We start from the raw sequence: 14651 nt of genomic DNA, 5'->3' as shown, positions 1-14651 counted from the left end.
GGTTAAGTAATTTATCCAAGGTGATACAAATAGAAAATGGGAAAGATTGGTATCCTTATGGGTCAGACTTCAGACGCTACACACTTAACCAGTTCACTTTACTGCCACCATGTAGAAGGATATATGGCTGACCTGGAAATATACAGGACTTGAAATTTAGGTTTATTGGTGGGAGTGAATGGTCAGACTAGGAAGATAGGTGAAGATTAAGATTTGTAAAGTTACAGGGAGGCTATGCTAAGGAGGTTGTACTATCTTGTAGGTAGTGGTGACTTCCAAAGGATTTTGAGCCAAGAAGTTGGAGGGTATTTTATCCTTTTAAAAGCTAATCTTGACATTTCCCAGTGTCACCACATTCTTCTCAGTCATTTCAGATGAAGGCACCTTATTCTTCTCTTGGGGCCAGATGTTGTTTATGTGGGTGAGAATTCTGGTAAATGAAGTGCTGGATTAGGAACAGAATTCAATGCAGTTAATTCCTAATCCTGGAATGAATAGCCCTGCGTCAGTAAGGTGTCCAATTGCATGAACTCTGTGAGGTTCCCATGTCTATGAAAATTAAGGATCCTGCTGCTGCTGAACCACAAATATTCAGAGCTTCATCTCTGCCCTCTTTAGTATCCACATAAGGATATAATATTTACTTAACCTAAATCCTTGGAACCTCTTCTGTGTACACATTGCTTCTCTCCTGAGTGGTGAAAGATAATGTGTCACCTACATTGATGAGATGGCCTGCATCAATGAAAGATGAGTTAGGATCTAGCTAATACCTAAGACATCTTGTCCACTCCTCATTCCACAACCAATACAGGTATCATCAATATGATGCTAAGACATGATGCTGTTGGTGAATCACGTTCAGCATGGTTTCTTGGGCGGCTGTTACCAATTGATTGACATTGGCACCGGGGATGAAAATTATTTGCCATCTGTGAGTTAAATGTCCTTGTTTCTTTTATTCACCTAAATATATGGCCTGTATCTTTCAAGGGCATCCTCACTACTAAAATTTGCTACTCTTGCACAAATTACAGACGGTAAGGGGGGGCCTTTCTCTAGTCTTTGTTCAGAGCCCAAATTTTTAATAGCTCTGATTTATTAAATACCTGCTTCATGTCAAGCCCAACACTCAAGAGGACTTATTCAAGGAGCAGTGGTACCAGGGGAGAAAAAAGCAGCACAATCAAAATTTTGAATTAAATACTAAAAGGAAAAGATGTGATTGAGATTTTATCTTGAGAAATTAATCAAAAATTATGAAAATAAATTTATTTGTATTTGACCATCAACAAAATTACATCTTCATTTTAATCATGCCAAGGTTTTGAAAAGAATAAGGCAATTGATAAATATTTTTGCATATATTTTTCATATCAAGTCACATAATAGCAAAGTAGTATATTCTTGACTGAAAGTCTGGATTTAACAGTGAAATCTGAAAGGGAGTCAATTTTAGAAAAGCTTTCTAGAGATTTATTAACTTTCCCAATAAGCTCTCTTGACCTTTTAATAAATAAATAATTTCTTCTGAAGCAGCTGTTGTCTCATCCTCCTTGTCAATTTTCTTTCCTGTTTCTTTTTTCAGCTTCATCAAGGGATACTTGACAAATAAAAATTGCATATATTTAAGGTGTTCAACTTTATGTTTTTATACTCCTATACAGTGTGAAATAATCACCAAAACCAACCTAATTAATGTATCTATCACCCATATAGTTACCATTTCCTTTTGTTTTCTTTTTTCTTTTCTTCCCTCCTTCCTTCCTCTTTCCTTTTCTTTCTTTGTCTCTCTTTTCCTTTCTTTCTTCTTTCTCTTTCCCACTCTCTTTGTTTATTTCAACACTTATCATCTACCCTTTAAGCAAATTTCAAGTGTGCAATACACTAAAGTTAACTATAGTCACATTGCTGTATACTAGATCTCCAGAATGTATTCATCTTGCTTAACTGAATCTTTGTATCTTTGACCAACATCTCCCCATCCCCCCTCCCTCCTGCCCCTGGCATTTACCACTCTACCCTCTGCTTCTATGGGTTTGACTATTTTAGATTCCATAACTGGTCTAACTCTGCCAGGTTCTCATTTGGCCAACATTTTGGCACTCGATTCAAGCAGTTCTCCAATATCACTTTTGCAGCATCACTGATTTTTTTCATCTTTTGCAAGATCTGGAGTAGATTCATTCATTCTTCCCCGAAGATACATATTTACTGAGCACCTGCCATGTGCTCTTTCAGAAACTGGGGTACAGTAGTGAATAAAATGATCCCAACATTCTTACCATCATGGGTCTTACATTCTTGTTTGGAAAGAGAGAGTATAAACAAAGTGCCATGGAGAAAGATGAGAAAGCGGATAGAGAGTATGTAATATGTGCTAACAATGGGAGGCAGTTGCAGGTTTAGAAATAATGGTCTGGGTTGGTGTATTAATCTTTTACTGTGTAACAAATTATCTCAGGACATAGTGGCTTAGAACAACAAATATATACTATCTCTCAGTTTCTCATGTAAGGAATTTGGGAGCAGCATATACGGGTGTTTCTGGCTTGAAGTCTCTCATGAGGTTGTAGTCAAGATGGCAGTTAGGAATGTAGTATTATCTGAAGACTCAACTAGGGCTGGAGAATCCACTTCCCAGATTACTCACTCAGAGGGTGTTGGCAGAAGGAGTCAGTACTTCCCTGCTGCTTGCAGGCCTCTCTGTGGGTTCTTTAGTATCCTCACAACATGGCAGCTGGCTTCTTCCAGAACCAGAGGTCCAAGGAAGAGCAAGGCAGAGCCAAAGTGCCTTTGGCCTTGCCTTAGAAGTCAGGTTCTGTTGTTTCTGCATTGTCCTAGTGATTGCAGTCATTCCTATTGAATGTGGGAGGGGATGACACATAGTGTGAATACCATGCCACAAGGCTCGTTGGGGCCATATTTGAGGCTGGCTACCACAGTGAGCTACACTGATAAGGAGATCTTTGAGCATCATATTAACCATGGATTTTCAGATTTCAACATCTGTCAAACAAAAAAGACTTAACAAAGATTCAACAGGCTTGACTAATTCTAGTATATATAGATTTGTCTAGGAACCAATTTTGTAAGTGTTCCGTTCACTAATGCATATTTTCAAATCATATAAACACTTTTGTTTCCATCTATAATTCTATAACTGTGGGTCTTGTATAACAAGATCAAGGTTTATTAGGACACCTAGGTTACATTTTATTTTTCACAGATACCACAAGGGAGTAGGTGCTTTTATCTCCACTTTAGAGATAAAGAAATGGAGATGGATGGAAAATGATTCCCAAAGCCACACAGCTGGCAAGTAGCAAACTTGGGACTTGAAGCCATGCCTGTCTGCCTCAAAAGTCCCCATTCCGTGCACAGCGACTCTCTACCTATCCAGATGTTACTTCATATTTCAAACAGCTAGTCATTGACAGCAGATCAATGTATTATTCTGTTTCTTCACCTACAGCTTTATCAAGCAGTAAAGGTGAATTCTTGCTAAATGGAAACTTTGTTGTCACAATGGCCAAAAGGGAAATTCGCATTGGGAATGCTGTGGTAGAGTACAGTGGGTCCGAGACTGCCGTAGAAAGAATTAACTCAACAGATCGCATTGAGCAAGAACTTTTGCTTCAGGTAAAAACTTGACCATGAGCCCACCACCCTTTTCTTCTGCTTGGCATTACTAAGCCCACCCAGTTCGTTTCTGTTTTGTCCACACATTCTAGGTTTTGTCGGTGGGAAAGTTGTACAACCCCGATGTACGCTATTCTTTCAATATTCCAATTGAAGATAAACCTCAGCAGTTTTACTGGAACAGTCATGGGCCATGGCAAGCATGCAGTAAACCCTGCCAAGGTATCTGCTTTGAATTTGAGTTCTGGGGATTTGAGAAGTTTATTTTATTTATTTATTTATTTTTAATAACAGCCAAATGCATGCAAACTGCAAACCCTTCTATCTGCATACGTTCTCTAATCTCTTTTCTTTGAATGTGTCTGGTCATTTTTGGCTGGGAAGTTGAACTTTTTAAGTGATTCAAGAAATTTTAGATTTCTTCATCCTAAGAAATTTTTGTACACATGTGTAAAACCAAGCAAAAATCACCTCCGCCATTGTAATTTTCCAGAGCATGGTTTTAGTAGTCATAGCATATGTTATTTATTTTGTTTTCTTTTGTCTAAATGAGGAGTCAGCAAACCACAGCCAGCAGGCCAAATCCAGCCTACCGCCTACCTTTTTTTTCTTTTTCTTTTCTTTTTATTTTTTTATTTTTTTATTTTTTTATTTTTTTGAGATGGAGTCTTGGTCTGTCGCCCAGGCTGGAGTGCAGTGGCACAATCTCAGCCCACTGCAACCTGTGCCTCCCTGGTTCAAGCAATTCTCATGCCTCAGTCTCCCGAGTAGCTGGGATCACAGGTGCATGCCACCATGCCCGGGTAATTTTTGTGTTTTTGGTAGAGAACGGGTTTCACCACGTTAGCCAGGCTGTTCTCAAACATCTGACCTCAGATGATCCGCCCACCTCAGCCTCCCAAAATGCTGGGATTACAGGTTTGAGCCACTGTGCCCGGCCTACCTACTTTTACAAATAAAGTTTTATTGGAACACAGTCATGACAATTTTGTTTATGTATTGCCTGTGAGTGGCTGCTTTTGCCCTGTAATGTCAGGGTTGAATAGTGCAACAGAGATCATACGCTCTGAAGATATTTACTGTCTGGCTCTTTAGAGAAAATGCTTGCCAATCCGGGGTCTAAATAGTTTATGGAATAGATTATTTTCCCTGAATAATTTTTTTTCCCTTTCTGCTTAGGGGAACGGAAACGAAAACTTGTTTGCACCAGGGAATCTGATCAGCTTACTGTTTCTGATCAAAGATGCGATCGGCTGCCCCAGCCTGGACACATTACTGAACCCTGTGGTACAGACTGTGACCTGAGGTGGGCCACTGTTTTCTCAAGGCCTTTATTACTGAATTGTGAGAGTCTTGCAGGAGGTCCCAGCAGGAGAAGCAAAAGGAGGGGATGCTGGTCTTTAGTTCCCCTTTCTTGTGTTTCAGTGAAATAAGCTTTAACCAATTCTCCATCCCTCTGGAACTGATTATCCAAGACATACATGTGCAGATTTCTTGTTCACCTAAGAATTAAAAATAGCTAATAGAGTATGGCACTTGCCAAAAAAAATTCAGTTGATCCTCACAACTTGCTGGGTAGGTATTAGCATTATGATTGAGTCACATTGTACGTGAAAACTTGTTTTGAAAGTCAAAAGAAAAGGGGGAGAACCTCATCCCTCAAAGTACCCATAATGACCTATATCTACCGAGAGTGTATACCACCCAGTAGAAGAACTCCTACACACCTGAAAGTTGCAGTACACTAAGGTAGCGTCATGGAAGAAACAAGAAGAAAATGTATATATGGATGTCTGAGATATTCAAACAATTCTGTGTTTAAGAAAAGTGTAAAATCCGAGGCAGGAAATACTGGGTGGGTAGAGCATTCTGAAGCTTTTCTATTTGCCTGCAAGGTTGACTGTGTCATATTGAAATATTAAGTAGTCGGGGCTTGCATTTTATACTCTGCATGACAGTTAAATGCAGTTAAGGTGAGTTGCTGTTTTGTCCTCCTTTTAAGAAGGGAAATTCAGTGGAGAGTGGTATAGGAATGTGTTAAGGTCTCACCATTTATAAGCAGAAAAGTGAATACTTAAGCACTTTGAAGGCTCCACATTACAATGCCAAATCCTATCAAAGGGTATTGGCTGCCTGTAGTGCTTTAGGGCAGATTATGAGGCCTACTTGAGGCTCTGAGAAAATAGAGGAGTTCTGAGATTGACTACTAATGTCTGCCATGGAAGTGAGAGGAGCAGTTATGGTACGAGTGTCATATTTTTGCCAGTTCTGACTGAAGGCTCTGACTTCAAAGCCCAGGATCTTTCTAGCCTCTACCCAGTGTCACTGACTTTCTAGCTCATTGCCCTAGTGAAATTGGCTTGCCAAAATATATTGACAAAAGTCATTGTAAAAAAAAAAAAACAGGAAGACATTAAAAGGCAGACGTTTATACTAGGCAATATTCTTGTTGTAGATAGTGTCCATATAAACCCATCTTTGTTTCAGCCAATTGAGTTAAATTAAAGTTCAAGTCTCTTCAGGAAAAAATAATTAGTTAACTAACCGCTAAACTGAATTAATCACTACAGTTTGGGGAAAAAAATGAATTGGTGGATAGATTCCTTGAGGCACAACCTTAATAAATTGAGAATGGTGACATTTTCTGGGTAGCCTTATATCAAATTATCACTATATTCCCCAGTACTCTGTAATGGTTATGGTAATAGAGTCAACCATTTACTAAGAACTATTTTTTCTAACAGTTATATATTATCCTATTAATATTCTTTTACTAATAGGATTGTTCTTATATTATCCCATTATCTATTATCCTGTTAATATAATTAATACCCTACTAATTCTTCAAACAACATTATGATTTATATATTATTATTCTTACCACTTTACAAATAAGGAAAATAGAGGCTGAGAGTCGTTAAACAAATTGCACAAGCTCACACAACGAGTTAGTGGAGTGACGGAAATCTAAATCTGTACCTAGATCCTGTGCTTAAATCCTAGGAGAGAGTTATTTTTATTCTTAATTCAGTTATAACGATGAGTGTTACTCATGGATTCTATTCTGGGTAGCTTCTCTTCCTTTGTGAAAAGAAATAATTCCCATGAGTTTTTTTGCCCCATCCCTGTTCCCTACCTTGCTTGGAGCCCCTTACCTGTTTTTTCTCCACTGATTGAATCAGAACGAGACTGGTTGAGTCTCTGATTATAACTATAGATACAGCAGAACTCCTGCCTACAGTGCTAAGTATGCTCCTATGATCGCACAGATGGTGGATTTATACATAGCATTGCGAATAATAGAATGTGATCTAAAAAATAAATAATTCTTTAAGAACCCTCTTTTTAAGTTTACCCATGGAGCACCAATTTGAGGGTGGAGATAATGTTTGAGCTGTTATTTTGAAAAACTATTTTTCACTTTGAGCAGATTCCAAAGTGAGCCACTATTTAATTTGTGATGATGCTGGCTTATGTGGTGTTCTCCAAAGTTTCTCCTGCATTGGAAGCCTTTAGACATAAAATGTAAACAGTGCTTATAAAGCTAATACATTAAAAGGTACCCCCGAAGCCATGAGTTTTTGTGTAAAATGATGCAAAAGATCTCAAATAGATTTCCGCTCATTGGTTTACGTGGAGTTACATGATGCTTAAAACTTGGTTGGAGAATGAAACACCAAGGATAATGATAATAATAATAATAAATTATAACAGGAATAGCTACTTTTCTTGAATGTCTGCCATATGTGTGAAATGCTACACATGGCTTGCCTCACTCAATCCCCCAAATATCCCAGTGAAATAGGTTCTGTTTCCCTCCATTTCACAGATGAGGAAACTGAGGCTTAGTGAAGCACGCAACTAGGGTCACTTAATTGACACTCACATCCAGGTCTTTCTGATTCCATAGTTCATCCTCTGATTTTTATTAAAAATAATGTCACAATACCTAGCTGTAATTAGGGCTTCAGTTCTTTGTGTTTCATATAGTAGGTATGCTAGCACACTAAGCTATTCTAAATTCTAAATTTCCCATTTGGAGAAAGTCACTATTTTTTTGACACTTAACTTTTATATGTACTCTACTCAGACCAAACAAGGACAGCACGTCAGATCATAGGCCAATGGTAATAATAGCACCTCTAATTAAAGAAAAGGTAAAGGGATTATGTCCAGGTCTTTTGGTAGATATGAAGATCATAGGGTTAGGAATTTTAAAATGCAAAGAAAAACCAGGAGTTTAGGATTAGTTTCCAAGGCCTCATTAGACAGGTGCATGCTCATTCCTAAAATTAACCAGAAGATCATGCCTATTTGTCAGCTTTTAAATGCGTAGCTTACTGGCCTGTATAGATTGTTGGGAAAATAAAATCGTTCACTGAAAAATACACCGACACAAACCAAGCCTAAATAAGGTGTTCTATCTTGCATCTATCAAACTGACAGTCAATATAACCATGATTTATAGTAATTATTGTCAAGTAGCTGTGTCCAAAACTGAAAGACTGAAGAGAAGATTGTTACTGATTGGTCAAACTCTGAAATAGCTTTTCCAAACGCATGGTTGTGGATCACTCATTTTGAATGATGATTCATGGCACACCAGTATGTCTGACAAGACTTACCAAGAATCTCCTTCCCCCTGTGGAGGTTAATAATGCTGATCAACATTTTGAAGGCCTTGAAAAGTTCTGTAATATATAAAACCTTTTGAATTCAGTCGTTCTTAAAATTATTTAATCCCACAACTTCCCCTGCAATAAAAACACACAGGCTTACACTTTTTTTTTCTCAGTTTCTACTTAGTAACAACACTTTGGAATATGGTTTCCTGAAATATAGTATTAAAATACAATTGTATTTTATGTCCCTTGAAATGAACTAAATGAACACGAAACATTGAAGACCACCATCCAGGGAGAGACTACAAAGCAGGGGGTAGCATTTTGAGAACTTTTCTAAGGCTGCGCTATGCCCTTTCCATAGACTCTTCAAGATTCTCTGCTCAGATTCTGGGGATGATGTTACTGTCAGGGGCACTTGAGCCACTCTGCCATGCTAAGCTGCTGGCATGTTTTCTTGTGGAGGCAGGACACCTTCCTTCTTCATCCAGGATGGAAAATAACCTTTCCACAAGGAAATGGTGACGAAGGCAAAGAGAAGGTAGCCAAGAATCAAAGGGCAGATGAAAGTTCCAGATGCTTCTGTTAAATTGGGCCACATTTTTGCCACACTTCCTGAAGGAAGTGAGAGTTTGCCCCACTACACTGTGACAGGATGAGATAAAGCATTGTTTTACAATTTCTCATTGAACATGTTCCGGGTTAGAACAAAATCCCCCAAATATGGTGTCACTCTATTGGAAAATCTCCATAGCCCACTTTACTTGCCAGATGGTCAACTCTGACCTACTTTGGGGCATTCATGAGAAATTCCAAGATAAGCATGAGGCCAGAACTCTTTTTTACCCTGAGTTCTACCCTGGACAGGTACACATGGAAGTAGTCTCAGGACATTGGTAACCAACAAACCACACAATTTCTAAGCAGTGATGAGTGAACAGTCAAGAGTGAAATCCAATGAAGAGTACAAGGAAATCACCCTTTTTGGATTTCTAAATCTAATCAACAAAATACATTTTAAGGTCATTTATTTAGAATATTCTATTTAGTTTAAGAATATTATTTATTTTCTTTTTAAATTTAAGCACTGCTGATCATATTCCTAGGGTATTAAAAGAACCAGACGATTGGCCAGCACACACTGAATACCTACTGTGTCCCCCCATAATCTCATTACAGGTAGTATGGATACAAAGGTGACAGAGATTTATAGATTCAAATCTAATTTTAAAGTGTATAATTGAATTGTATAAAATATAGTCCATGTCTTCAAGGAATTTAAGAGCCTTTATTTACAGATAATAATGTACACAGGTTTTAATACACTTGAAAAAAATGTTTTCCTTTTGGTAGCTTGAATTTCAGATTGACTATCGGGGTAAAATCATCACAAAGGTAACACCTCTGGCTGTCATTCTGTGACTTCTATGTACATTGGCAGCCATGAAAAACACATGGATATGTTGGTTTAAAATTAGATTTTAGCAACTGACTGTGGCTTTGGGCTTCATGGTATTCGAGTTAAGAAAGAAAAAAGAACTCAACTCTTCTATGAATACCAGTTGACTATAGATAAGGCATATATTTTTAACAGAAATGTTGGTTTTGCCCCATTATTTTTGCATAGGTGGCATGTTGCCAGCAGGAGTGAATGTAGTGCCCAGTGTGGCTTGGGTTACCGCACATTGGACATCTACTGTGCCAAATATAGCAGGCTGGATGGGAAGACTGAGAAGGTTGATGATGGTTTTTGCAGCAGCCATCCCAAACCAAGCAACCGTGAAAAATGCTCAGGGGAATGTAACACGGGTGGCTGGCGCTATTCTGCCTGGACTGAAGTAAGTTGGCTCTCACTCAAAGAGTCTTCTTGGATGCTGTCTGATTAGTTGATGGTGGCTCCTTGCAGGTGTGTAAGCCCCATTTAGGCTGTGCGGAAGAGATGACCGTGATTGATTTGTAATGCCTGACCCCATTCAAGCTTTCCAGAATAGAGTAGCATGGTTGATTTGTAATGTCTGACATGGGCATGACGTGTGGAAATTTGGAAGAAGTGGAACAACTCAACTGATTTCTTTTGCATACTCTACAAGCCATTTCCGGTTTTATTTTTATATGCCAATGAGCTAATTTTGAGTTTAATTATAAACCTGGTAAGCAAACTGATAACATGAAAAGATCTCCACCAAAATAACTAGAGTTGGCCAGCTTGTGTGTTGTTTCTTAAGAGCTGGAAGAGACAACATAGCCAGGATCTTCAGCATACTTTATAAGAAACTTAGCAACAGTTTTATTTATTTATTTTGTCCCTACAGTGTTCAAAAAGCTGTGACGGTGGGACCCAGAGGAGAAGGGCTATTTGTGTCAATACCCGAAATGATGTACTGGATGACAGCAAATGCACACATCAAGAGAAAGTTACCATTCAGAGGTGCAGTGAGTTCCCTTGTCCACAGTGGAAATCTGGAGACTGGTCAGAGGTAAGATGGGAGGGCTGTTATTTCCCCTAGGTCATCTCTTACATTCTAGTTCTGGTGCTCTCTATCTGTTTAAGACAAACCCTTGTGCACCTTTCTCCCACCTCTCCCTTTCTCCCTTGTCTCCCTTGAGAAAACAACTCCAGTTCTCTGCCTGCACCATGACTGTCGTACTGGATGTAACTAGTCTACCAGTGACCTCAGGGCACTTTGGGCTTGGCTAGATCACTCACTGTTGTAGCTTCTGTTGTGATTTTGAAGTTGCAGTCCATCACCTTCCCTCCTCTTTGAGCCCTAGCTAAGTCACTGAAAGGAAATCATGGATTTATTAATCATAAAGCTATACTAGCTCACATCTGAAGTCAACATGAAGTTTCCTACTTCCTTGTCTTTGAAATAAGAGAATTAGACCCCAGGGAGTGACCTCTCTGACTTACCCATCCAACTGCAAGAAAAAAAAATAAAACTCGGAAAAAAAAAAAAAGAAAAGAAATGGACCAGACTGAGTATTCCAGATTTATGCCTTTCTCATCCTTTACTTTATGAAGCACAAGGCAAACCCTCCATTGCTTAGCACAGATGGTCCCAGGACAACAAGAGAAAGAAGATGCAGCCTCTTTCTTGCTTTTATGATATAGTATTAGCACTCACTATTAACACAGCCCAGTGTTAACACAGCCCAAGGAGATTCTTACCAAGCAGGGACTCACTCCACGTTCCTTAAGGGGAAGAAGGGAAATAAGAAATACGAAACAGAAGTTTCCTTTTTAATGGGCCAAATCAGGAATATGGGGAAAGAAAAAGTCTCCCTGCTACAGCTCCTACATCCATGCTCTTATCCCATCCTTATAAGTGCAGTATTAACTGCTTATTTTCACCATCAAATAAATCTGAAAAGGATACTCTTAATGCCCCTGAAATGGCAGTCAATTAACAGTGTATTTGATTAACAGTGTCTGATTCCTGGACAAATGAACTGCAAACCTAGTGCTTTAGTTCTAGGTTAACAAATTGCCTTTGCTTAAAAATCTCTAGTATTTGGTTAAAAAAAGATAAGTAGTAGGTTTAAATTTTACTTAGATAGCTAATACTAAAGTATAATTTCAAACTAAGTAACAAACCTTTGCAATAATATGCGATAAAATGGGGGTTGGGAGATCAAACTGTAAATTCACTATAATCCAAAGTTGCTTAAAAAGACTGGAAAGAAAATAATAAAATATTGATAATGGTTATCCTTGGGTAGCGAGATTTTGGGTCATTATAATTTTTTCATTTATGTTTTTCTACAGTTTTCAAATTTTCTACAGTAAGTATGGATAAAATGATGATTACATTTGGCATTTATTAAATGAACATTGTGCCAAGAGCTTTACTTGTATTTGTTTCATTTAGTTTTCACAACCCTTTGCAGTAGACACTAATTCTCATTTTACAGATGAGAAAATTGAGGTTCAGAGAGATCTTGTGACTGGTTATATAAGTGTTAAAACTTAGGTTGATGTGATTTATAATTCCCCATGCTTAACTCCTATGCTATAAAATTATGAATGTTGTTTTTCAAATTTTATAGCATGGAGCTGTGTTTAGTTTATTTTGTGCTCAAAACTGGCCCAGAGACTATAAATATAGAATGAATGAATAAATGAACGAACAAAAGGAAAAAAATGAGGCTTAGTATATTTACAAATTGCTATGGGAGAGTGATTGCTGTGGGAAAAGGACACACCTGTTCCTACTCATCAATAAATAACCCCAGAAACCACAACACATTGATCAGAAATGACCCTGACTAGCTCCGCTTTTCATTACAGTGCTTGGTCACCTGTGGAAAAGGGCATAAGCACCGCCAGGTCTGGTGTCAGTTTGGTGAAGATCGATTAAATGATAGAATGTGTGACCCTGAGACCAAGCCAACATCTATGCAGACTTGTCAGCAGCCGGAATGTGCATCCTGGCAGGCGGGTCCCTGGGGACAGGTATTTTGAACGATAAGATTCTTAACTGCTACATTCTTTCCTTCTTATCTGGAGAGGACTTGCAAAGGAGCATTCCAGTGGTGGAGATTTAACCGCTGTGCCGGGTGGCATGCAGGACACCTCCATGGCACTGGATCAAGCACATGTAACTCTGCAACCATTTTGCCCCCCTTCCAAGGATTGCTGCCTGCCCTCCTGGAGCTGATTACCCTTTTACAGACCCACGTGCCTATCTTTGCCCTTTAGCTTGAGCAGACGAGTGTTTGAACAAATTCACAACAGATTTCATGTCTGGCTGATGTTATCTTCTAGCGTGCCTCTGTGGGTCTGTTACAGAAGGTGATCCAGCACCAGAGTCTCTGGCAGGAAGGTCTGGAATGAGATTTGGAAAAGATATTTTGGCTCCCAATGTCACAATTACAAAGCTCACCTCTCATAAATAAGCCAGACTCTTCAAACATAATTAATTAGATCAAAGGTTGCAAAACCCTCATGCTTGGAAATAATCTTTTCCAAGTCCTCTAGTCTGTAGGTTCCACAGTCTTAACTTGAGCTATTCTTAAAGGAGAGAGTGAAAGTCTCCCTTGGGCTTGCATCTGAGAAGCCACTACTCTCGGAATTAAGTCCTTCCTAATATAGAAGCAGAAGCGTTCAGGGTACTATTTAAGTAGCACTCTGAGTTCCCATTAGAAGTAGAACAGCTGTCTGCTGTCACTTGCGTAATCTCTTGAAGAATGACCCTCCCTTCACCCTGACCAGCCACAGCCACTCAGTCTTTTAGCCTCTATCTTCATTTCCAAATATGCATGCAACAAGTGGAAGCAGTTTTATTATGGCACCCTTACAATTTCTATCACTGATATGGGCACTTTTCTGAATCTTCCCCATTTCATAGCATCCACAGTCCAAATTGCCAATCATGTCTGAATTAATAGGGAGAGTTCACTTATACTTCTAATCTCATCTTCTTTTTGTCTGTATCTGCATAACTTTTAGGGAATAATAAGAGGAGGAGAACACAGCTTAGGGTCACTGTCAAGATCTGAATATAACATCTGTTAGAATTGACAGGCCTGTTTGTCATCTGTCTCTACACCAGGCCATTCCTAGCACATCTTATAATTAGAGATCTTTTTTTTTCCTTGAACTGAACATGCAGTTCAGGGGAACAGTTTTTTGGAGGTGTTATTTAAGGGTCGTAAATATTCATAAGAGAAATTTTGCAAAATGTAATTCAGCAAAAAGAAGAAAACCAAACCCAGTCCTACCTCTACACTGAAGAAATTAGTTGTTGCTAACATGTTTATGATTTGCTTCTAATATTTTTTAAATTAATATTGTGACTGTACTCTGCCAATTGTTTGTTTTAATGGAAATGAAACTCACATAATACAAAATGAACCATTTTAAAGCGAACAAATCAGTGGCATTTAGCATATTCTTAATGTTTTGCAACTACCACCTTTACCTAGTTACGAAACTTCATCACCCCAAAAGGAAACCTTGTATACATTAAGCCAGGGGTCCCCAACTCTTGGGTCATGGGCCATGGGCCATGGCCTGTAAAGAACCAGGCTGCACAGCAACAGTTGAGTGGTGGATAAGCATTACCGCCTGAGCTCCACCTCCTGTCAGATCAGCAGCAGCATTGGATTCTCAGGAGTGCAAACCGTATTGTGAACTGTGAGATCTAGGTTGTGAACTCCTTATGAGAATCTAATGTCTAATGATCTGAGGTGGAACAGTTTCATCCCAAAACCACCCCCACCCACCCCATCTGTGGAAGATGTCTTCCATGAAACTGGTCCTGGGTGCCCAAAAGTCTGGGGACCACTGAACTAAGCATTTGTTCCCCACCCCACTCTTCCCTCAGTCCCTGGCAACCACCAGTCTGCATTGTGTTTATGGATTTACGTATTCTGGACATTTCATAG

General features: G+C 38.9%; 1 protein-coding gene across 5 annotated transcripts in view; it reads left to right on the top strand.

Annotated features, from left to right (window-relative positions):
• The window catches only part of ADAMTS9 (ADAM metallopeptidase with thrombospondin type 1 motif 9), a 172347-nt gene that overhangs the window by 61939 nt on the left and 95757 nt on the right, over nt 1-14651 (top strand). For all 5 annotated transcript variants that reach the window (XR_007095711.1, XR_245151.1, XR_007095712.1 and 2 more), the window contains 6 exons: nt 3476-3642; nt 3735-3864; nt 4822-4948; nt 9892-10102; nt 10577-10741; nt 12553-12717. Coding sequence is in view for 2 of the 5 variants with exons in the window: in NM_001318781.2 (NP_001305710.1) it covers nt 3476-3642; nt 3735-3864; nt 4822-4948; nt 9892-10102; nt 10577-10741; nt 12553-12717 (965 nt within the window). In the remaining 3 variants the exon portion in view is untranslated. The remainder of the gene's footprint in view (nt 1-3475; nt 3643-3734; nt 3865-4821; nt 4949-9891; nt 10103-10576; nt 10742-12552; nt 12718-14651) is intronic.

This window comes from Homo sapiens, chromosome 3 (genome assembly GCF_000001405.40).
Source record: "Homo sapiens chromosome 3, GRCh38.p14 Primary Assembly".
NCBI classification, from domain to species: domain Eukaryota; kingdom Metazoa; phylum Chordata; class Mammalia; order Primates; family Hominidae; genus Homo; species Homo sapiens.
Note: the sequence above shows the minus strand (reverse complement) of the source record. Positions and strands in the feature narration are given on the sequence as shown.